Raw genomic sequence first — 25849 nt, 5'->3', positions numbered from 1 at the left:
TAAGGTTGTGCCACTCTTTATTGAGAGCATCAATCCAGTTTCTTCCAGATGTTAATATTTCTATGTTCTTGAGTTTCTGAACTTTCAGACTCCTTTAGGTAAAGTCAGTCTTTGTTCTGTAAGCTTTAGTAATCATTTAGTGTGTTAACCAGGCAACAGTCCATATTGCCAAATGACAAAGTGTCTGGGTTTCTTGTGAGGTTTCCTAATTTGGTACATTTAAATTATAGGAGTTTCATTTTCCAGGCAGTTTGACCATCAAGATTGTCAGTGCCGAATAGATGCATTTCTGCTTTAATGTTATTTTGTGTCTATCAGGCAGTAATGGTTTTCTTTTATAATTGGTTTATAACTCATTTCATAATCATAAAGTTATTAATGAGAAAGAGAATGCTGGCTTGGGCAGCAAAACGTGGTAATGTTACATGTAACAGATCCAAAGAGTAAAAGTCTTGGTTGAGTCAACTTTTGTAAATAATGCTTCTTCTGGTTTTGTTTAATCTAGAACTCAATCATATTTATGTTTTTAATCTTTCTTTATAATCATAATAAAAATGCATTAAAATTATGCAAAAATTGAAAACACAGAAAAAATATAATGCAAAAAATAAAAATTAGCCACAATTCCACTTCCCAAGGACATAACTGAAAAAGTAGTATATTTCCATCAAGTCATTTTTCTGTCTTTACTTAAAATAAAAATATATATGCTTTTTTAACTTCTTATATTCTAACAACTGCTTCATTTTACTAAAAATTCTTCAAAAACACAATTGTAATAGCTGCATAATATCCCAGTGATAACCATAATTTAATCAATTTTTCTATTGAGAGATGTTTATACTCTTTTAAATAATATTTCACTACCAAAAAGAATTCTGAAATGAACATCTTTGTCAAAATATTAACCTAATTCTATAGGGTTGATTTCCTAAAGTAGAATTACTAGATCAAAGAGTATGAACTTTTATTAGGCTCTTGTAACATATAGGCAAATTGCTTTCCAGAAAGTAATTCACAGTCACATCACTGGGTAAAGAGATTATCTGTCACCATACCCATGTCAGCTGAGGTTTTTTTTAATGTTGACTAATTTAATAAATATTGTTACTAAGCAGTTTCATAAGTTTATTGATTATTTGTGCTTCATCTGTGAAATATTAATTCATGTGTTTCTGAGAACAAGAAAGTTGACTATAATAGTCATGGGGGGTACTGAAAAAACGCTTACTTGAGGATCATTGAAATTAACTTTGTCATAAATTATATACATACTCTACTAGATAAACAACTCCAATGCTGTTCATTGGAGATGGATGAAAAAGGTCTAAATGTTAAAAAAAGAAAACCAAACAGTTCTGAGGGACACTAGGGATAATTTTTTCCAATAAATCTTGAGAAGTGGGAAATTTGGCTATAGATTCAAGATTGCATCACAATAATTGATTGTAATGGTTTTGAAATGTGAAAACATGAGATTTGGGAGTGGGCAGGGGTGGAGTGGTATGGTTTGGCTGTGTCCCCACCCAAATCTCATCTTGAGTGGTAGCTCCCATAACTCCCACATGTTGTGGGAGGAACCCAGTTGGAGACAATTGAATCATGGGGGGCGGTTTCTCCCATAATTTTCTCATGGTAGTGAATAAGTCTCACAAGAGCTGATGATTTTTATAAGGGGTTTCCCTTTTCACTTGGCTCTCATTCTCTCTTGCCTGCCACCATGTAAGACATGCCTTTCACCTTCCTCCATGATTGTGAGGCCTCCAAAGCCATGTGGAACTTTGAGTCCATTAAACCTCTTTTTCTTTATAAATTACCCAGTCTGAGGTATGTCTTTATCAGCAGTGTTAAAACAGACTAATACAGTAAGTTGGTACTGGGAGTGTGGTGCTCCTGTAAAGATAACTGAAAATGTGGACGCGACTTTGGAACTGGATAACAGGCAGAGGTTGGAACAGTTTGGAGGGCTCAGAAGAAGACAGGAAAATGTAGGAAACTTTGGAACTTCCTAGAGATTTGTTGAATGCCTTTCACCAAAATGCTTATAGTGATATGGACAATAAAGTCCAGGTTGAGGTGGTCTCAGATGGAGATGAGAAACTTGTTGGGAACTGGAGCAAAGGTGACTCTTGTTATGTTTTAGCAAAAGGAGTGGTGGCATTTTGCCCCTGCCCTAGAGATCTGTGGAACTTTGAACTTGAGAGAGATGATTTAGGACATCTGGTGAAAGAAATTCCTAATCAGCAATGCATTCAAGATGTGACTTGGCTACTATTAAAAGCATTCAGTTTTATTCATTCACAAAGGTATGGTTTGGAATTGGAACTTAGGTTTAAAGAGCAAGCAGAGCATAAAAGTGCAGAAAATTTGCAACCTAACCATGAGATAGAAAAGGAAAACCCATTTTCTGAGGAGAAATTCAAGCTGGCTGGAGAAATTTGCATAAGTAATGAGGAGCCAAGTGTTAATCACCAAGACAGTGGGGAAAATGTCTCCAGGGCATGTCAGAGGTCTTCATGGCAGCCCCTCCCATCACAGACCCAGAGGCCTAGGAGGAAAAAATGGCTTCCTGGCCAGGCCCAGGGCCTTGCTACTTTGTGCAGTCTTGGGACTTGGTGCTCTGCATCCCAGCTGTGGCTACAACAGACCAACGTAGACCTCAGGCCATTGCTTCAGAGGGTTCGAGCCCCGAGCCTTGGAGGCTTACATGTGGTGTTGGGCCTGTGGGTGCAAATAAGTCAAGAATTGGGGTTTGGGAACTTCCACCTAGATTTCAGAGGATGTATGGAAATGCCTGGATGTCCAGACAGAGGTGTGCTGCAGGGGCAGGACCCTCATGAACAGCCTCTGCTAGGGCAGTGCAGAAGGGAATTTTGGGGTGTGAAACCCCACACAGAGTCCCCACACTGAGGTACTGCCTAGTGGAGCTATGAGAAGACGGCCACCCACCATCCTCTAGAACCCAGAATGGTAGATCCACTGAGAGCTTGCACCTTGCACCTGGAAAAGCCACAGACACTCAACGCCAGCCCATGAAAGCAGCCAGGAGCAGGGCTATACCGTGCAAAGCTACAGGGCAGAGATACCCAAAGCTGTGGGTCCACCTCTTGCATGAGCGTGACCTGGATGTGAGACCTGGAGTCAAAGGAGATCAAATTGGAGCTTTAAGATTTGACTGCCCCACTGGATTTCAGATTTGCATCGGGCCTGTAGCCCCTTTGTTTTGGCCAATTTCTCTTATTTGGAATGGCTGTATTTACCCAATGCCTGTACCCCCATTGTATCTAAGAAGTAACTAACTTGCTTTTGATTTTACAGGCTCATAGGTGGAAGGGACTTGCCTTGTCTCAGATGAGATTTTGTACTGTGGACCTTTGAGTTAATGCTGAAATGAGTTAAGACTTTGGGGTACTGTTGGGACAACATGAATGGTTTTGAAATGTGAGGACATGAGATTTGGGAGGGGCCAGGGTAGATATGGTTTGGCTATGTCCCCACCCAAATCTCGTCTTAGAACTGTAGCTCCCATAATTCCCACATATTGTGGGAGGAACACAGTGGGAGATAATTGAATCATGGGGATGGTTTCTCCTATAATGTTCTTGTGGTAGTGAATAAGCCTCATGAGATCTGATGATTTTATAAGGGTTTCCTCTTTCACTTGGCTCTCATTCTGTGTTGCCTGCTGCCATGTAAGAAGTGCCTTTTACCTTCTGCCATGATTGTGAGGCCTCCCAGCCATGTGGAACTGTGAGGTCCATTAAGCCTGTTTTATATATATTGAAACAGGCATATATATATAATGAAAAATTGGTGAGCAATCCTCTCTAAATTCTTATAAGGGTCCTGGAGCAAATTTCTCACAAGGACCCCAGAACAGCTTTTTCAGCCATACGTTCACAGACCGGTTTGATTACTGCTGTCTTTCCGGATGCTTTTAATTTCATCATCATTACTTAATATTCATTAAAATCTGGCCATGCTAATTGAGGGCTTTACCAAATGACCCAACAAGAACTTGTGTTAATACCTCTTCCCATTAACCGTCACCTTGATGGGCTCAGGAAACAACACAGACAGGAACAAGGACCCAAAGTCCCTGTTGCAGTTACGGATTGATTCATTTAATTTCTTAGACAATTCTTCCGCAGGGAAACTGGACAATATGTGGTCTTGGACCTTTTGCTTTCACATGTAAGGGTTTCCATCTGCCTCCAAATTATCAATTAGGGACAATGTAACTAAAATTTAGATTGCAAAATATTTTTTCTTCTTCTTAATGGCTTCTCATAACAACATAGCCTTTCCTTTTCTAACAAAAAAAAATCATTTTGAGTTTTTGTTTGGTTTGGTTTTGCCCTTCCCAGATTATCCTATAATATTAGATGAAATTATAGAAAATACCAAAGTCTGGCAATACTACTTGAGATACCTTCATGATTGTATTTTAAGCTCAGTGATCTTAGTGTCTCCTAGATGCTACATTGCCTAAAAGACAGCCAAATGTGTATATGGCAGATGGTGGGGGTATGGAGGGGAGGGACTTTAATTACAACACTGAAAAAAAACTGTTAAGACATGTAATTTTCAGATGGAGTGCTGAATCATTCATATTATAACACCATGATGATAGCTTTCATCATTTAGTCATCCTTATGGACCATATCAATCTATTTCCACTCACTAATATATTAATCCTATTTGGCTGTTCATTTAAATGACATTGATACAACTGCCCAGTCATGGGTAAGATTTCTCTCTTGTAAGTGAAGTTCCACTAGGTTATAAATAGCTAATAACTCTCCAAACTTCTCTGGTTTACAGGAGAAATAATTTAATGAAGGCTCAGATTACTTTGTGTAGCTTTGTTAATGTAAATGAGTAATGTGTATTGATTTTTCACAGCTTAAAAATCTTTTTATTCATCTTGTGCAAGAAAGTCTGTTAAGGAATTATTAATGACAGGATAATTGCTTTAAGATCTATGCCCTAATTAAAACAGTAAATTCTTTATTACATCTTTATTTTAATTAGATGTACAGAAAGACAATAGTTTTTACAAGAAACCCCTTGTAAAATAAAATTACCTCATTTAGAAATGCTTCAAAGAACCTGCAGTGGTGCTACTCAGAGTCTATGAAAAACCAAAACCAGAGTGATTCTACTTCCAGTCAAAATTGAGATGCCATTTAACTGAAATTAACAATGTTAAATAGACGATTTTACAATTTTGGTTAAGTACAATTCACCTATATCAGTATATTTCTGCCTCTACTGTTAAAAAAAATCATTTCTTAAAAGTAGGGATTTTCTTAAAGTTTAACAAGCTCAATGAAAGATGAGGAAAATGAGCCTATTGTCATGAAAATGAAAATTATATCAACCTGAGATAATTTGTTTTTGTAGTTGTACTTTGCTCTGTTTCTTCAGTTTGCAAGAAGATGCATTTTAATGATTTGTCCTGAGTTGTATGTATTGAAAAACCAAACCAAAATCAATAATGACCTTTCATTTATCATGTCTTTCTTTTCTACCTGTTTTTCTGTCTTCAATTTATATGCACGATTAACTGAAGCCATGAATGCTTCCCTGTGGAGTATGATCACTGACTTGAAAGACGGTGGGTGAGATAACATTTGAGTGTGGACCTTGTGCTAAGCACTGTGTTAGGACTTTTCACACTTGTTATTTAATCCTCACAAACACCAAACTTTGGTGCAAAAGTCATTGTGGTCTTTTCCCTTAAAGGTAATGGCACCTTTAATTAAGGTAATTGCAAAATTAATGACTTTTGCACCAAACTAATATGAGTCCCATTCAATGGAGAAAGGAACTGCCACCACTTTGATCATCTAAACCAGGAGTCAGAACTACAGAACTACAGCCTGTGGGCTATATCCAGCTTACCATCAGATTTTATAAAGTTTTATTGGAACATAGAGACACCCATTTGTTAGGTGGTGTCTATGCCTGCCTTCATGTTACAATGACAGCATTGAGTAGTAGAGTGAGAGATATTCTGACCTACAAAACCTAAAATATTTACTATCTAGCCCTTTAGAGAAAAAGGTTGCAGATCCCTGTTATAAAGCAAGAAACCTGGAACTGCTTACACAATCAAACCTCCTCCCATTCAGCTCCAATCCCACTGTGCAACACATTTTGCTTAAAATTATCCATCTGCCTTTTCTAGCATGCTCTTCAGACTTCATTTATTTCTTTTTTCATTCCTTTATTTTGACACTCTTCATATACGGGCCTTTTTCCTTTGAGCAACATCTCATCTCCTTTCTTAATAGGCTGAAATAACTTCTTTCTAGCTGATTTCTCTCTTAGCTGTCATTATTTATTTAACTCTAATCATGTTATTTCACTCAATACAGCATTTTGGACCTCAGCTAGTAAGAGGATGATTATAGCAAAGTATTGCTTCATGTTGCTCCTCTTGTTACCTGAGATTTTTCCCTTTAATTTTCCCAGAGCATAGATTGTCTGACTGCTGGGGAAAAAGTCACAGACATTTACAATTTAGAAAGTCCACAATTATCACATAATGAAAACCAGATCAAAGCAGCACTGTGCCCAGTTACATACTTCCTTGCATGTAGAGAAAAGGGAGAGCCATGGGGTAGAAAGGGATGTTCCTGCCCTGAACATATTAGCCAGTGGATAGTAAAATGCCTAACAGACACTGTACACAAACACTGCTTGTTATACAGCAAAAGTTGGCCAACTCCAAATTTACCTTCAGCAAGTTCAGTTGTGTGGACTAATTTATTAGTTCTCCAAAAGAAGAGACCCAACCAGGCTTCCATGAATAGACCCTGAGGGGTTTGTCTACGAGAAGAAGAAGGCCAGAGAAAGTCTAATTAGTCAAAAAGTGGTTAAAGGTTGTGAAAATTGGAAATAATCTAAGATGGTCAAGAATAGAACATTAAAAATAGAATATCCATAATGTGGAATACTATGCAGTATGACTGATACTGCAGAAGAAATTTCATGATACGGGGATATAGCAGGTTCTTAAATGCTTATGTCTAATTTTGTTAATAATTTAAATTTTGTTTAATATATACATATGTATAGGGAAAAAGCAATACATACCACAATATTACACACAGTGGTTATCTTTGGGTAACAGAGTTATTACTGACTTTATTGTTTTCTTTTTTGTATTTTTTCAATATGCATTACTTTTATAATCATAATGTGTTTCTTTTTATGATATAAAAAGGATACAACTAGGAATGCCATGGATAATCAGAAGGAAAAAATGAGATGTTCCTACCCTTAACTGAATTTGAAGAGTTTTGGTAAATGTGTGGTGTTTCCACCCTAGGGGCTGAAATCTATCTTAGAAGCAGATTGCCTTCACAGGTCTGTTAAGAGAAAGGATTTTGGTTGTTTCCTCCTGAATGTCAAGAAAGCTAGAGTAAGCATATACTGTCATTAGTCACTGGAGTACTTATTTTGAAGGTCTTTGGGGTTCCCAAAACTGTCTATCGACTATGGTCTTTCTTCTTTGCAAGACTTATCTAAGGTTCTTCCCTCAGTCTTTCTGCTCACCCTTTTCTTATTGGACCAGCTAAGAAAGTTACTTCTTCCCTGTATTGCTAGCAATCCCTTCCATTTCTCACCAATCAGTACTCCCTTCCTGGACCAATAACATTTCTATAACTCTTACTGGGTTGGACTATACTTGCCTCTCTCTCTCTCTTTCTTCCCTACAACACTGAAATCAAGACCAGGTTTAAGTCATATTTCTGATGCTTTGAGTAAGTATTTGAATTGCCCATAGTAGCCCAATAGCTCCGCTCAGCAAAATTTGATTTCCATTGGCTTTCCAGCTCAGTTCTTAGATATGTCCCACCCTCTTCCTCCCCAGTCAAAGTTCTTGGTAATAACCCAGATGCATGGCTACGAATGGAAGGTATGGTGGGAAAAGAGCTCCACTAGAGCACATTTTTCTAAACTGTCACATTTTAACAATTTTGTAAGGTAATATATTGACACCACATTGGGGAAGACTGCAATGAAAAGTTGCTAGAGAAAACAACAGTGATATGTAATTGAAACATTAGTATTTGTCCAAGAGACTCATAAAGAAGGTAATCAAATGATAGTGCCATTTTACATGTGTCCTCCTCTACAAAGTGTACCACCACTGACATGCCCTTACCCCATGCCGACCTTCCTCATGGAGGTTCTTCCCTCAACCCTTGCATGAGTGGGCCCTCTTAAAAATTACCCACCCTGACCTTATTACCTACGTTCCTCTCTGCTCATCTGCCAGGCCTATATAATTTCCAATTTCAGGATTTTGTTGAGATGTTCTTTGAGGCCTAGTAAAAAATGTAGTCTCTCTCTAGGAAATAAATTTTAACACATAGCTATGAAAGCAAAATTTTCTATTATATTTCCCAACTCTTCTATATCCTTAGTTTTTGGTCTGCTTTATCTGCTAAAGATTGAACAAAGTGTGTTAAAAAGCCCCAGTAAGTAATTTTTATGGTAAATGAAGTATTTAAGCTAGACAAGGCCTTTAAATTCAAGAAGGAATTAGAGAAAAAGGAATGAGATGGGGCCCTTTGGACACCTCATTAATTCTACAACACAGGAGACTGACTCCCTTTTATGCTTATACATGATCTCCTCACAGGTGTTGAGGTGTACAGTAAAACAGAGAAAGAAGAGAGAGAAGGATGGGAAGGGGAGGAGTCCCTAATGAAGAAACTCAGTGTTAACCTGTTTGTGGAATACCTGTTATTCTTGGGCTTTTCAAAGTAAGGCTACTATCTTATTCCTAATCAGAATGAAAAAGAAAAATACTAATTTTTGGACTGTTAATCAGCCACATTGATGCTGTATTAAATTGTTATGATTTTCTGCTCTCCGATGAGGTAGTATTGTCCACTGGATTTGTTTTCTGTCCTTGACCTCACACTAACCACAAAACACCCCTGGTCTTATATCCCAAATCGAAATGAAATCAGAAGATAAGCCCAACAAAAAATCAGACAGCCATCTCTAGAGGCCCTACATACTCTGTCTCTTTTTCCATAAGTTCATTCTGTTTAATTTGCATGAGTACTTTAGGAGAACAGGCAGGGGTGTTACCTTCACAGACAGTAGGAAATTACATTTCCAAAATGGGTCCATGTATTTGACCATCAGGGAAAGAGAGGAGGAAGATTTATAAATTTGTGGTCTCTTGGAAACAAATATCCTTTGTGAGGCATGCGTATTTTTAGTTAGCCATTCCTTTGAAGTCTCAACTCAATTTTTGCAGAGAGTTAAACTAGGATAATAATAATGATAATAATTAATACTTGTAAAGTGTTTGCTACATTCTAGGCACTTTCTGAGGCATCTTACATATATTGATATATTTACATCTCAATTTTTTTTAACTATTTGAGTAATGAGAGAACTGAGGCACAGAAAGACTTGTCTAAAGTTAAACAACTTGTATGTGACAGAGATAGGATTTGAGTTACGGTGGTTTTCTGTTGACCATTAGGCTATTCCATTTCTTAAATATGAGGGGAAAGAAGCATTTTCAATGGCTGTCAAGTGTGTTCAGGTCTGTATTATCTGCAGGCAAAATTCAATTCAAGAGACAGTTTTGAGATTCAGTCATTTGTGGGACACTAGGCTGAATGCTGTGGCATTATTTTTTCTAAAAGAGAAAAAACATTTCTTGTTTTAGATTGCTTAGTGTTTAGTAAAGAGATTAAGACAAACAAAACCTACAAAGCAAGAAGAAATTTCATGTTAGAAGATTCAGCAAAACGCTGTGATGGTTCAAAGTTAGACAAGATGCAGTGGTCTTTCATAAAATTTAGTGAGATTGTGTTTTATCTTTTCTTATAAGTTACAGATTCTATCTATTGTGTTTTCCAGTGTTCAGTATAAATAAATAAGGATTTATTGTAATTTACACCACAGAGGTAAGCCTAAGCCATTGACAGTGTGTAACCCTTAATCCCAAGGTTTGTGTTGACTAAACATGCTTTAGTACTTGCGTGAAGCCGTAAAACAAGGCTAAGGTAGGAGACAGTGATGGGTCATAAATTGCAGCTTATTTATTTTTTTAAGTTAAATGATCTGTCTAGCTCTTTTTCTTAAAATTATTATTTTATTTTTTATGTCTTGCTCTGAGTCTTAGATTTCCCCAAATATAAGATTATAGAGTACTTTCTGGTGTTTGAGACATGAGCTTAGTTTGTTTCCTAGGCAGTGCCTTAAATATTTCTGACAGTTTCCAAACCTCAACACAATGCAAAGTGTTAGGCAATAACACATGTCAAGCGCACACACAATGGCTGTCTTAGAGGAGGGCACAATTATTATTGGTCATTATTGCAAAGTTTTGGGGGCTGGAGGTGTGTGTGTATGTGTGTGATCCCTATCAAGCTCCAAATCCCAGAAGCCATTTCTATCACACCCTCCTGACTTGGAGGAGCTCTAAATCACATGGCAAGGGCAGAGAAAGTGTGTCTGGCAAAGAAGAAAGCATAATACAAAGTTCAGAAACTTTAAGTCATTTGGGGCAAGTTCAAATTATTAAGTTTGGTTGAAATATGGAACAAATTGGTGGACTAATTGTGGACATGGACTAATGAAATAAAAGTTGGTATTTGGCTGTATTTTGTGACTTTTAACATTCGTGTGTCACTTTCATCTGAAAGAAAAAAATATTATCTGAGAACAATGTGACAAATGTGGCTTTTTAATATAGTAAGCTTGCCTAGAAGTTAAAGAGTAATAGAAAATGAAATTGTGTCTTAATCTTTAATCTACTTTGCCTGTTGTATTTTGTTCCAAGCTCATTTTTACCTGATAACTTAGCTTGCCCCACACTAGTTAGTATTTAAATCAATTTAAATACAAATGTAGGTAAAACATAATTGTGTCTAGAGGGGATTAGATATATAACATATTTCACAGTTAAATTTAAATCATTTTAAATTATCTGCTAGTTTGGATTATTGACCATATACTTTCAGATATTGCAAAAATAATAATCAAGATTAGACTTACTGAAATTCTGAGTTTGTCTTCAAGGTGTTCATCTCCCAAGGTATACAAGCAGCATGAATAATTCCAATGCATGTGTCGGTTGTACAGTATTCCAGGATGGAGGCATTCAATAGGAGCTAACTGGGGATTCTGTTTTCCCCGCCTCAGGGTGAATACTTTCTTCATAATGTAGAAATATATAACTAAATATGAATAGCAACTTACATGAATGAAATATATTTTTCTTTGTAAAATAAGGTGACGGTGATTAAAAGCAGGACTTAAAGTTCCTTGTGGTTTCCTTTCGAAGTCCTACTCTATTTAAAAACAATAACAACAATAATAAATACCTGTACCTACAGCACAATACACTCTTATATCTGTTAAAATATTAACATGTTTAGGTATTTAAATACTTTATTAAAATACAGTTACCAGTCTTATTTCTTTCGAGTACAACACTTAATGAATCTAAATAATCAAACCTTTGAGAGAACAACACACACTCGTCCATGAGTAAATTTATAATTCATAAGGTATAAGCAGACTGAGTCTGTTGCTATGCAGACATAGCAGAATCTGTAGCTATGAATTGTTGATGGCCATTGAAAAGGCACATATATAAGGAACCATCTTCTTTTAATTATAAAATATTTTCTGTATCAGAAGAAAAGCATATCTGAATTCATTACAATAGTCACATGTGTAACATACATCTCCAGTCTTCTTTGCTGAGTTTAGTGGTATCAGAGGAAGGTGGCAGAGGGGCCATGGACTTCAGCAGTGACAGCCAGCACCACATCCCAAAGATCTGGCAGGGCCAGGCATACCTCACCATATGCCAGAATGGGATGGTGAGGGACCCTTGGAGCAAGGGCCTTCTACTTGGAGGCCAGTAAGGATCAAGAATAGCACAGGAACCAGAAGGATATGGACATCCTTCCTCTGATGTTGGGACAGTACCTTGCCCCATCTTCAAGAACCTAGAGAGGAGAATCCAGAATCAATGAGGCTAAAATACCAGAAACATAGTTACCTTGGTGGGATCGTATTGACATGAACGATGAGACTTTAAACTAGAAGTGATGAGAAATACTATTTTTTGAAACATCAAAGTGTTTTACATCCTCATTCTACCTTCCATTGTGTTTGCACTTTATCGTTGTTTCAAGTACTTCATAAAGTTAAGGGTACTACAGGAGCAGGGGGGAGGGGTATCAAACCCAGACTGGGGGAAAGGGAGGGAGTAGAGAGGTCAGGGAAGATTTATCCAAAGAGGAGTTACTTGAGAATTATCTCGGGGAAACTGGTGGTGGCAGTGAGCCCCAGAACACAATCATCCTTGATTTTAAATCAGTGCTTGTTACATAGTGCCATCTGCTTGACAGCCATCCATAATCAACCTACTCACTATCTGGCACCTTCTGGATAAAATGTAGGCAGTTGCTCTTTCAAAAAAAAAAATCTGACCAATTGTACATTTTATTTCATTACCTGATAGCAAAGCAGATTCACACAAATTGCAGAATGATTCAGAACTCCAGGCAGGAGGAAACCATACCTCACCATATGGAACCTTATAACACTCCATTCAATGTGAAACACCTTTTGGTGATATGTTATAAAAGTCAGCGTGGAACTGGGGAAGTGCAAACAACTGTTTAATCCGCAAAGGCTCATCCAACTCATAGAAAAGAGTGTAATAGAACAACTGCACTTAAGTAGCACCAATCCTCTGACAGTCCTAGGAAGCTGCTTAGCTCAGCAGACTCAGCCCACAAAGCTGAAAGCTTAGTTCCCACATTAGCCAGGGCCTCTGTAGGCCTCTGTTCTTGGCTCAGGGTCAGATGATTACACAGTGCTTCTCATAAATGAGCCAAAGGATCAAGAAACCAGAAGGGCAGGAATGCTTAAAAGTACAACTGTCAAACCCAAGAGACAGTCTCCAGATGTGTCTTGGCCCTTGGTTTGGGAACTCCTTGTTGAAGAGGACTTGCAAATCCCAGCAGAGGGGCTATGAGGGCCCAAGGTAAAGGGCACAGTTGTGAAAGGGTTTATTGTGGCCCAGGTGTCCCCACTGTTATTGCCTGTTGATTAGAATGATCTGTTTCAAGAGTGGCCAAAAGATTTTCGTGTGTATTCTTGTCATTGATGGGTCCTCTTGATCCAAGTTTACAGATTGTTTTGGTTGTCGAGACAATTTCTCCTGGCTTTGCGTCTTTGCCACAGTTTGAGTTCTGGAACAAGACAGCATAGAGCTCACAGATATTGTCTCCTATTCTGAAAACTGCCCATCCCACCCCTCCCCCCACCTCTCACACACACAACGTCCAGTTAGCAGCCAACCCCACTTTCATCACCACTTCATTCATCAGAATTAAATTCTGTTATCGCTTTAACATTTTTAAAGTCTTTATGTGCCGGCCAGGTGCGTTGGCTCACTCCTGTAATCCCAGCACTTTGGGAGGCTGAGGCAGGTGGATCATGAGGTCAGGAGATCGAGACCATCCTGGCTAACACAGTGAAACCCCATTTCTACTAAAAATACAAAAAAATTTGCCAGGCATGGTGGTGGGTGCCTGTAGTCCCAACTACTCAGGAGGCTGAGGCAGGAGAATGGTGTGAACCTGGGAGGTGGAGTTTGCAGTGAGCAGAGAACGCGTCACTGCACTCCAGCCTGGGTGACAGAGTGAGACTCCATCTCCAAAAAAAAAAAAAAAATTTAGCCAGGCATGGTGGCAGGTGCTTATAGTGCCAGCTACTCGGGAGGCTGAGTTGGGAGAAAGGTGTAAACCCAGGAGGCGGAGTTTGCAGTGATCTGAGATCGCGCCACTGCATTCCAGCCTGGGTGACAGAGCAAGACTCCATCTCAAAAAAAAAAAAGAAGTCTTGATGTGCCAACTAGTTTTGGTGTGTTTGTGAATTTCTCTTGTCTTTCTTCATTTATTGCCTCAGCATATGTCTGTCGAGGTGACTGTACAGGGCACTTGGGAAACAAAGAAAACAGTCCCTGCTCCCACCGATTGACAATCTAACAGAGAGGATTGGAAATATCAGCAAGTCACTGCAAACATGTCTAGAGAGGATTCAACATAGAATGTCACATTTAATAAGACTACTGAAAAAAATGAAAAGTTATATAAAAGAATTATTTGAGTGGAGAAATGTATCAAGTATCTGGAGAAAGGGCATGGCACAGAAATTCATAGGGTCTTCTGGGATCCTAGAAGGATCCTAGGATAGGTCTACCCTAGGCTTGAAGAGAACAAAAGTGGGAAGATATTAGCAGAATGCAGAGAGAGACTTGTATAGAGAAAGTTGTCTTGAGTAGCAATGAGCTTGGGTCAAGGGACATAGCCAGCTTTGGAGACAAATCTGGTGATCTCAAAGTGGGGGAAGTCAAAGATTCAATACCCAGATCTCCTGCTAGGGCTTCTCTTGGCCAAATCCAACCAGCAGGCAGAGCACAGAGAAGCCCTGCTGATATGGTCCATGTAGGTCAGCACTAGGACAGAGAGCAGAGCGAAGAAGGGGCAGGAATGAACTTGGAGGGTCCATAAAAGACGTCTCACACAACAAGCTAGGGAAAGGTCTGTCATGTGAGATTCTCTATGTCTTCAGAGATGAAAGGCTCTTCATTTGAGGAAATATGTAATGTCATGCTTTGCCTGTCAACTTAATAGATTTCCTGATATCACAAAGGATATTTCAAAGCTACTCTGCTACCTTTCCCGAAGCCATCTACGAAAGCTAATTAATAGTGCACCCTTGTTAACACATGCAGATTTGGCATTATTAGTCTAATTAAAAGGATTTTAACAGTCTCAACTTCCCCCCACCTACTGATTCCTACATATCCCAGTCGAAGTAAATTAAACCCATTAATCAAAGTGGTAAAAATGATATAAGGTACAGGATACAGGCAGAACTGAGAGGAGACTAACAGCCCTCATTACGTTTAATTTTGTTCCCCAACAAAGGATAATAAATTCAAATTGTAACATCACAATAAAACATTTAATTTTTCAAGAGCAGGGCAAGACACATTATAATTAGCTCCCTGTTATGTGTCTTCATTTAGGTGGTAATAGATGCAGTTTAGTAGCCCAGCCAGTCCTAAGCTAAAGAGTTTAAGTGAGATCTCAACCACTCTGTCTCCATGGAACATGTCCTTACCATGTAGAGCTTGCAGTGGGATATGAGCAGGTGGCAACTTAAGGTCTGGTGTTCATTCAGTCATTCTCTATTCAGCAGAGCTCAAGTGAATGCCAGGTGTTTGTTAGACAGGCTTCTGGGCACTGGAGCTTTAAGAGTGAATAAGCAGAGTGTCACCCTTTGTGGAACTTTCAGGAGAACTGAAACAAAATCCATGCTTTTTAGCCTCAAAGCTCTATGCTCTATCCCCAGCTTACTTCTCAGATGTGATCTCATGCCACCTTCCTCCTTGCCCACTGCACTCCTGCCACCAGGCCCTTTGCTGATTCTCAAATGAGCCAACCTCATTCTTACCTCACATGCTGTATTTTTGCTCTTCCATCCACCTGGAACTCTTGTTTCCCTGACTGTTTTCTTCTCATTAAGTTCTTTAATTAAAAGTGACCTATCCATTAGAGAAATGCAAATCAAAACCACAATGAGATACCATCTCACACCAGTTAGAATGGCGATCATCAAAAAGTCAGGAAACAACAGATGCTGGAGAGGATGTGGAGAAATAGGAACAATTTTACACTGTTGGTAGAAGTGTAAATTAGTTCAATCATTGTGGAAGACAGTGTGGCAACTCCTCAGGGATCTAGAACTAGAAATACCATTTGACCCAGCAATCCCATTACTAGGTATATACCCAAAGAATTATAAATCATTCTATAAAGACGCATGCACATGTATGTTTATTGCAGCACTGTTCACAAGAGCAAAGACTTGGAACCAAGCCAAATGCCTATCAATGATAGACTAGATAAAGAAAATGTTGCACATATACACCATGGACTACTATGCAGCCATAAAAACGGATGAGTTCATGTCCTTTGCAGGGACATGGATGAAACTGGAAACCATCATTCTCAGCAAAGTAACACATGAACAAAATCAAACACCACGTGTTCTCATAAGTGGGAGTTGAACAATGAGAACACATGGACACAGGGAAGGTAACATCACATACCAGGGCCATCATGGGGTGGGGGCCTTGAAGAGGGATAGCATTAGGAGAAATACCTAATGTAAATGACGAGTTGATGGGTGCAGCAAACCAACATAGCACATGTATACCTATATAACAAACCTGCATGTTCTGCACATGTACCCCAGAACTTAAAGTATAATAAATAAATAAATAAATAAATAAATAAATAAATAAATAAATAAAATAGACACTGAAGCAAAAAAAAAAAAGAGAGAGAGAGAGACCTGTCCTGACCACCTTATCTAAAGAAGCTCTCCAAACCCCAGTTATTCTGTTTTGTTTAACATTCTTCATAGCACTTACCACAATTCAATCTTGTCTTTCCTGTGTATTTACCTCTTGTTTATCTCCTCACTCATCCTCAGTAGAATATATGCCACTCAGGAGCAAGGACATTGTCCCTCCTCTTCACTGTATTCCCAGAGTATGTGCAGCCTAGCACATAAAAGGCTCCCAACAAATGTTTGTGACTCTGGCTAATCAGCTGATCATATTTTTCCAAGATAGCAACATCATCTCCTATCCCATATGTTTTCTAAAACCCTAGTCACATCCCCATAAAGAGGTGCAGACTACTTCCCTTCTTCTCCAACCTGGGTGGGTAGTCTTATAACTAGCTTATAATCAGTAGTGTGTAGTAGAAGTGATACAGGCTAAGTATCCCTATTCTGAAATTCTTGGGACAGAAGTGTTTTGGATTTTTAGTGTTTTTTTTGGAGTGTGGAATATTTTCATATACATAATGAGATATCTTGGAGATGGGACACAAGCCTAAACATAAAATTCATTTATGGTTTATATACAGTTTATATACATAGCCTGAAGGTATTTCATATCATATTTTAAATATTTTTTTGCATGAAACTAAGATTGTATACACTGAGCCATCAGAAGGTAAATATGTCACTAGCAACCACCTATGTGGACAGTCTGGTTGCTTGCATGGGAGAATCTGAACATGTGCAACAAATGTACATCACAGCTGAGGAGGGCTCCAAGGGTCTTTGTTCCCTTGGAAGCACAGAATAAACTGCTTGTTATGCTCCTGCACTGTGACTTGCAGCCTGTCACATGGGGTCAAGTGTGAAATTCTCCACTTGTGGCTTCATGTCAGCAGTCAAAAAATTCAGACTTGGGAGCATGTTGGATTTCAGATTTTCAAATTAGGGATGCTCAACGTGTATTGCGTAACTTCAAAAGCTAGGTCATAAAAGGTGGTACATCTTACCTTTGGAGTCCAGATTAACCCATGTGCAGAGGCCCAGGAACTACATGAAGACAGTAAGCTGCCCATCCAGCCCCCAGCTGCTTCAGCCCCACACTCTCCCAGCCACCATATGACTTGAAACCACAAAGGGAACCTGAGCTGAGCCACCTAGCTGAGTCCTTCCAAGATTCCTGACCCACAGAAACTGGAAGAGATAATGACATAATTGTTGTTGTTTCAATCCACCAAATTTTGAAGTCATGTGTTACCCAGCAATAGATAACTAGGACAGTGGCTGACTGGCTGAATTTGTGAATGAATGAATGAGCTACCAAGCATATAAAGCACAACTTATTATTTCCAATCTGATTCAGAATGAAGTGAAGAACATGTAATCAAGACAGAAAACTATCTTTTAGAGATCTGTGTGTCTAAATAGAAATCAAATATTTTAGCAAAATTCTAATATTAAGTGCCCCAATACAATACAGCTTCAATTGTACTGTTGATTAAATCATATACCCTCTGGAACAGTATAAGACATGTTTTACCACTGTATAGAAACTGTTGCCTATCACAAGTTGCCACTTGTTCAAGGTAATTATGGCCAATTACTGATGGCAATTTTTTATTGCTCACTGTAGCCTCACCAACCCTTTCAGACAGCCATGAACAATTGATTAGGGTTGTCACTATACATGTTTGTCATGCTGGCCTTAAGTAGACCCCAAAACATCCCAAAGAGACACAGATTATCTCCATTCCTCACATCCCACCATCTCTTTCTCTGGGATTTGGACAGTGAGGCTCGAACTAGGGGCAACATGACAAATTTGAAAGTTGACAATATTTGGCTTGTCTGTCAACTCTTCTGAAATTCTATTTCCATCTATATCCATCCCTAATGAGGGAGGCAGCATTTGTTTATTGACTATTGGAGTTACTCACTGGTTGATAAGCAGGCCCAGAGATCTCTATCAATAAGAATTTGCTCAAAACAATTGGGATGTTAGGATGGTACTAGCATTTTCAAATACTTTGTCCATTGGTTTGTTTTGGACAACACTGGATTGTTAGTTCTGCAAGGATTTCTTTCACTCATAATTAGTCTGTATCGCTCATTTTCATCCACATACATGTGTGCTATTGTTGTCTATAAAAATGAGCACAGTATCATTATTTGCTTTCAACTAAACTGAGAAAGTAACAATTCTTTTGGCCCAAAGCACTTATCTATGATCTCAAATACTATCTTTGTCAAGTAGTCTTTCCTAGTTCCCTACAGTATACTGCTCATTATCACTTTTTCAGAACTCCAATATTGGTTGGTATTTCCTAGAGACATTCAGTATTCCATGAGACAGAATTATTTTTGCAATTGCTTTACATCCTCCAATTATATTGCAGAATCATCCCTTGACTCATCTTTTGCATTCTCTGCAGAGAATGACTCTTCTTATAAGCAAATTCAGGACCTCCTGAATAAATGACTCTTCTTATAGGCAAATTCTGGAGATCCAAAATATCAGTGTTGCATTTCCACTCAGATTCTTCCAATTCATACCCACGTATCCCTTTGACGGAAGTCCGTTTGTAACCTGAACAAGAAAACGTATTGGAGAGTCATTCTGATTAGTGAGCTATGGTTCTTAACTGGAGATAGTATTAAGTCTCCCACCCTCAAAAGGCAGCTTTTGGTACACATGGAAAGCATATTTTAGTCACAAAATTTGAAGGAGTTGCAAATGATATTTAATGCCCAGAGTCCAAGAATGTTAAACATGCTGAAATGTGAGGGACAGGCCTAATAAGAAGTTGTCCTGCTAAAGAGAACATCGTTGGACTGTACCTGGCTGTGTTAATACTAGCCCTTTTTATGTTCACTTATTCTGTGCCAGACACTAACTAAAAGGTTTACTTACCAGTAATTCTCCACATTTAGTGTGCATCAAAATCACCTGGAGGACAGATTAAACTACAAATTGCTGAGCCCCACCCCTAGAGTGTCTGATTTGGTAGTTGTGCAGTAGGGTCAAAAAATTGCATTTTAAAAATAACTTCCCAAGTCATGCTGATACTGCTGGTCCAGAGACCACCCTTTGAGAACCAGCGACCTGCACTAATTTAACTTCATGATTATCATCTGAGTTATTTTCTGCATTATCCCTATTTTTCATATGAGGAATTCAAATTAGAGAGGTTAAGTTCAGCACTTATCCAGAGATACACAGTTGGGATTTCAATCCAGGTGTCATGAGTATTGTCTAATAGAGTCAGTACAGAATAGAGAGAGTACAGAAATTCATTTGTTTGAGCAGCATGCAGATAGGTTAAAGTGAGGCTACTTGGGTTCACTCTTTCTTTGCTGTGTGATCTTGAACAAATTATTTAAAATTTCTGAGCCTCAGTTTCCTTGACTTAAAACAATGATGATAATGGTCCTTTCTCATAGATGTGTTATGAAGATGAAATAAGATAATGCGTGAAATGCTGTTAGAATGTTTCAGATATAGAATAATAGAGTGAATCAGAGTTCTCAAGTTTATATTCCAGTGGAAGAGCCAGTTATTAAACCCATGGAAACAAACAATTCCAAACACTAGAAGTGCTATTAAAACGTAGGATAGAGAATGACTTGGAGATGGGGAGGAGAGATAGTGAGGTCTGAGAAGACTCTTTCAAAGAGATGACATTTGATCTGAGAAAAGAATGATGAGAAGGAGGTAACCTACATAAAACTGGATAATCAATGTTTCAGGCAGAGACAAGAGCAGATACAAAGACATGGTGGCAAGAATATGCTTTTCTTGTTCTAGAAGCTGAAAGGAGGAGATGTTGGCATGTAGTGAGTAGAGGAGTGGAAGAAGTAGTAGAGTGGAAGGAGATGGCAATCAGAGAGGTTGGTAGCAGCTGATGACAGCTGAGCTGGTAAGGCATGATGAGGAGAATGCATTGTATTCCAGAGGCAGCTGAAAGCCGTTGAGAGGTTTTCGAGCAAGGGAGTGACTTAACTGGATTTGTATTTTTAACAGACAACTTTAGGTGCTATGTTAAGAATAAATTATGTCCAGTAAGAATGGAAACATACAGACCTGTTATGAAGCCACATTGTAGAGACCAGGTGACCTGGACTAGGGAGGTGGCCAGAAAGATGAAGAGATATAGATGGATTCAGTATCTAGGACTTGCTGATAGATAGCATGTATGGGGAGTAGGGCATTGGGTTTAGCAACAGGATGGATGACAGTCCAGTCTGCTACAATAGGGACAGCTAAGGTAAAAACATGTTTAGAGTTTAAAATACAAAGTTCCGTTTCGGATATGTGAGATAGATTACAAAGTCCACCAGGAAATTTTGGGGAGGTACGGATATGTTCATTACCTCGATTATGCTGTTGGTTTCATGGATACATACAGAGACTACAATCCATCCGCTTGAAAATTTAAATATGTGCAGTGAGTCAATTATATCTCAATAAGCCTGTATTTTAAAAAGCTATAAGGAACAATGACAAAAGAGTAAGATGTTTATTCACCAAATAGAGATGCCAATAAGCTATTGGATACGAGTTCAGAACTGAACAAGGAATATCTCAGGAGATTTTTCCTGACAAATTCAGAAACTTGGAGGTGAACTTTTCAACCAGTTAGTGTCATGGCTCAGCTTAACTGAAGGAGCACAGAATTAAAAACTAGAAGATTTGGGTTCTGGTTCCTAACAGATCATAGATAGCTGGAAACCTTAAATATGGCACTAAATCCCTGTTTAATCATGTTTTGCATCAGTAAAGTAAGGAAAAGCATATTTGACTGGAGGGAGGATAAACTTGGTACTGTTGTAGAAATGTTTGCAAAAGTTAAAATTGCTCCATAAATCTCAGTTGCTCTGAGTATTATTCAAAAGGAGAATACTTCAAAGATGTGGTGGCTTGAAGAAAGCCTTTGGTCAAAACAGACTATGAACAAGAAACACAAGCAATACTAACAATTTTCCAACAACAGAGAACATTATTTTGTATTTATTTTATAGCCAGAACTCAATGCTTTTCTCCCGTTAGTCTTAAGAAAAGCAGAACTTAAAGGTGCTTTGTGGACTGAAATGTAACCAAAGTTATTGTCTATAAAGCACACATAATCTTATACCTTTTAAAACATCACTAAGTAATTATTATGAGAACACTGGGATGGGAATGGGTAATCAATATTCTAAATGTTCCATGAGTGTAATTTCTCTCTTTACGCAGCCTCTCTGCAAGATATACTGTCTTGTTGAAGTGTGTTTAAAAATAAATAAGATAATACCGACCTTGGGAGTTACACATAAGCAGCCAGCCATTTAAAGACTCATTAATCACTGATTTAAATCTCAGGGTCTCCAGCCATCCAAATTAATGCCTGAGATCTTGACTTGAGTCATGATGTAAGCTAAAAAGTCAGCTGTTTCAGCCCTCGCATGATAGGGATGTGTGTGCTCTTTACTTTTAAACATATACATGTAAGCTTAACAAATTCCCTAAAACATAAACTAATTGCTTCCTAATAAAATTTATGTTTTACAGAAAGAATCCACTGTGAAGAGAAAGGGTTGAGTTTATTTCACTACTTATTAAATAGTACTACGTGTTTTTTTTTTAAAAAAATAGAGACCACATGATATTTACAGTCAACTTGTACACATGTCCCCACCTCCAAATTATCCTACCACCTCATGTAACTAAAGAGTGATCTGTTCCAATGCTGCAGGGGAAAACTCGCTTTGTTGATTTATTTAATGAAATGGGTCAGTAGACAAAGATGTTACCAAAAATGGGTGATTTAAAGAAATTTCAAGAATAATTTTATGGGCTTTTTGGTTTGTTATATATATGTATGCTTTTAGGGTACAAGTTGTTTTGGTTACATGGATGATGGTATAGTGGTGAAGTCTGACATTTTAGTGTACCTGTCACCTGAATAGTGTGCTTTTTATCCAATATATAGTTTTTTATCCCTCACCCCCCATCTCACCGTCCCCACTTCTGAGTCTTCAATGTCCATTATACTACTCTGTATGCCTTTGCATACCCACAGCTTAGCTGTCAAGGGTGATTTAGAATGTACACAATTTTCATCTTGCAATGGCGAGTGACCAACTCTACCTAAGAGGTGATGCTGCTGTTAATGGCTCATCTGCTTGGTTCAAGCCTACACATATAAAACTTAGAATAGGGTAAGTGCTCAACAAATGAGAACTGTGACATCAGTAGTAGCAGCCATTATAGTCACGGGATCAGTAGAGTAATCATAGTAGTAGATGACACGGCTACAGAAAGATCTCTTTGAACAAATATTAGCGGGTCTCTGAAGCCAAGCAGAGCTTATTGTCACGGTGGTTTAAAGGTTCTAGGCACCTTAATTAAGAAATTGCCCTGAATAATGGAGTGCTTTTGGAATTTGGTGTCCATTCCTTTAAGAGGCCATTTTTAAGGGGTTGATAAATGGTCATTTATCTAGAGCTCACTCTGTGTTCTGGATATAATCTTGTTACATTGACACCCTACTTTGTGGTTTTTCAAGTGGACCCATTCGTTTATCCTGCGGATTGTTTAATTATTTATTTTTCCAGCATAGTTTAAGCTAAAGAAATAATGGAAATTCTAGATTATAGGAAATTTGCAGTTTCTGTCAAGAATTGGGCTGAAACACAGCAAAATACCTACTCTGCATGATTTAATATTAATATCTAGGAAAAATGTAGATTAGCTTTTAGTATTAAAGATAAAAATGGCATCCTTTATTCTGTACCTATTATTAATGTATTTTTATTATTAAAGTATTATTAAAAAACATATTATTAAGGTATCTTTCAGGATATTTATAAATATAAGGATTAACATGTCATTTTGATTTTTTAAAGTCTAAGTTTGCCTGAATTTTATTAGCCAAAACCATTTCTTTCATGAAACTATGCAAAGGAGGATTGGTAAATTTGAACAGGTACATTCACGGTACCAAGTACTATGTTGTACCCTTCATATTATATTTTATGAGTTACAACATGCCTTCATATCTAAATCTCAATCTAATGATATTGCAATAAATGATATCTAAAACTAATAGAAATTGAAAAGTAAAATGGTAGAGTGAAGAAAACTTATTACTAAGAAAAAAATCAATTTAATATATTATTTACTGCTGTAGAATAAGTTATTTATCTAAAACAGTAGAATATGTTCAACATCTGGGCCACAGAACAATTTGAAAATGAAGTTTTCTCATCTGTTTTTCTTTCCTATCTCCTTGATTTTTCCCTGTGTGAAGGAGATCTGTGCCCTTACAAAATAAGCCCAAGAAAGTTTTAACCCCTTTTGCCATGTAAGGACACAGCTAGTAGTCACCATCTATGAACCAGAAAATGGGCCTTCCCCAGATACCAAATCTGCCTGGATCTTGGACTTCCCAATTTCCAGAATTGTGAGAAATAAATGTCTGTTTGTAGTTTTTTTAAATTTCAATAGCTTTTGAGGTACAAGTGGGTTTTGGTTACATAAATAAACTCTATAGTGGTAAATTCTAGGTTTTTGTGCACTCATCACCAAAGCAGCGCACACTGTACCCGATATGTAGTCTTTTATCCCTCACCCCCCTCCTACCTTCTTCCACCAAGTCCAATGGACTTAAATTATAATCTACAACATATGGACTTAACAGATATTTACAGAATATTCTACCCAATAACCGCAGAATATAAAATCTTCTCATCAGCACATAGAACATTCTCCAGGATAGTTCATATAATAGGCCACAACACAAGTCTCAATAATTTAAGAAAATCAAAATCATATCAAGTGTCTTCTCAGGCCACAGTGGAATAAAACTGGAAATCAACTGCAAAAGGAACCTTCAAAACTATACAAATACATGGAAATTGAATATCTGCTCCTGAATGATTTTTGAGTTGACAATAAAATCAAGATGGACATTTAAAAATTCTTTGAAATGAATGATAATAGTGACCCAAATTATAACATCTGGTATATGGGCAAAAGCAGTGCTAAGAGTTTACATCTGAATTCTACCACACATTCAAAGAAGAAGTGGTGCCAATTCTACTGAAACTATCGCAAAAGATTGAGAAAGAGGGAATCTTCCCTAAATCATTCTAGGAAGCCAGTATCACTCTAATACCAAAACCAGGAAAGGACATAACAAAATAAGAAAACTACAAACCAATAACCATGATAAACATAAATGTGAAAATCTTCAACAAAATGCTAGACAACTGAATTCAACAGCACATCGAAAAAATAATACACCATGATCAAGTGGGTTTCATACCAGGGATGTAGGAATGGTTTAACACTCACAAGTAAATGAATGTGATACATCACATGAACATAGTTTTTTCATTAAATTGTAATTTATTTTAAAATCCAGGGTACATGTGCAGGATGTGCAGATTTGTTACATAGTTAAACATGTGTCACGGTTGTTTGCTGCCCCAATCAACCCATCACCTAAGTATTAAGCTCAGAAGACATTAGCTATTTTTCCTGATTCTCTCCCTCCCACTGCCCCCATGACAGACCCCAGTGTGTGTTGTTCCCCTCCCTGTGTCCATATGTTCTCATTGTTCAGCTCCCACTTATGGGTGAGAACATGCAGTGTTTGATTGTCTATTCCTGAATTAGTTTGTTGAGGATAATGGCTTCCAGCTCCATCCATGCCAAGGCTATCCCTACAAAGGACATGATCTCTTTCCTTTTTATGGTTGCATAGTATTTCATGGTACATATGTACCATATTTTCCTTACCCAGTCTATCATTGATAGGTATTTGGATTGATTCCATGTCTTTGCTACTGTGAATCGGCTGCAATGAACATACATGTGCATATATCTTTATAATAGAATGACTTATATTTGGGGGGTTATATACCCAGCAATGGGATTGCTGGGTCAAATGGTATTTCTGGTTCTAGGTCTTTGAGGATTTGCCACACTGTCTTCCACAATGGTTGAACTAATTTACATTCCCACCGACAGTGTAAAAGTGTTCCTATTCCTCCACATTCTTACCAGCATCTGTTGTTTCTTAACTTTTTAATAATCGCCATTCTGACAAGCACGAGATAGCATCTCATTGTGGTTTTGATCTGCATTTCTCTAATGATCAGTAATGTTGAGCTTGTCTTTATGTGTTTGTTGGCTGCATGAGTGTCTTCTTTTGAGAAATGTCTGTTCATGTCCTTTGCCCAGTTTTTAATGGGGTTGTTTTTTCTTGTAAATTTATTTAAGTTCCTTGTACACCTTGGATATTAGACATTTGTCAGATAGATAGGTTGCAAAAATTTTCTCCCATTCTACAGATTATCTGTTCACTTCTATGATAGTTTCTTCTGCTGTGCCAAAGTTCTTTAGTTTATATCCTATTTGTCAATTTTTGCTTTTGTT

General features: G+C 37.9%; 1 long non-coding RNA gene across 1 annotated transcript; it reads right to left on the bottom strand.

Annotated features, from left to right (window-relative positions):
• Window positions 1–11421: 11421 nt before the first annotated feature.
• On the bottom strand, window positions 11422–15326 carry LOC124909392 (uncharacterized). Its single transcript, XR_007095955.1, has 2 exons — window positions 15199–15326; window positions 11422–13259 (listed from the first exon to the last, which is right to left on the bottom strand). It is a non-coding gene; the product is annotated as an uncharacterized LOC124909392 (long non-coding RNA).
• Between the last annotated feature and the right edge of the window lie 10523 nt (window positions 15327–25849).

The sequence above is a fragment of the Homo sapiens genome, chromosome 3, assembly GCF_000001405.40.
Source record: "Homo sapiens chromosome 3, GRCh38.p14 Primary Assembly".
In the NCBI taxonomy this organism is placed as follows: domain Eukaryota; kingdom Metazoa; phylum Chordata; class Mammalia; order Primates; family Hominidae; genus Homo; species Homo sapiens.
Note: the sequence above shows the minus strand (reverse complement) of the source record. Positions and strands in the feature narration are given on the sequence as shown.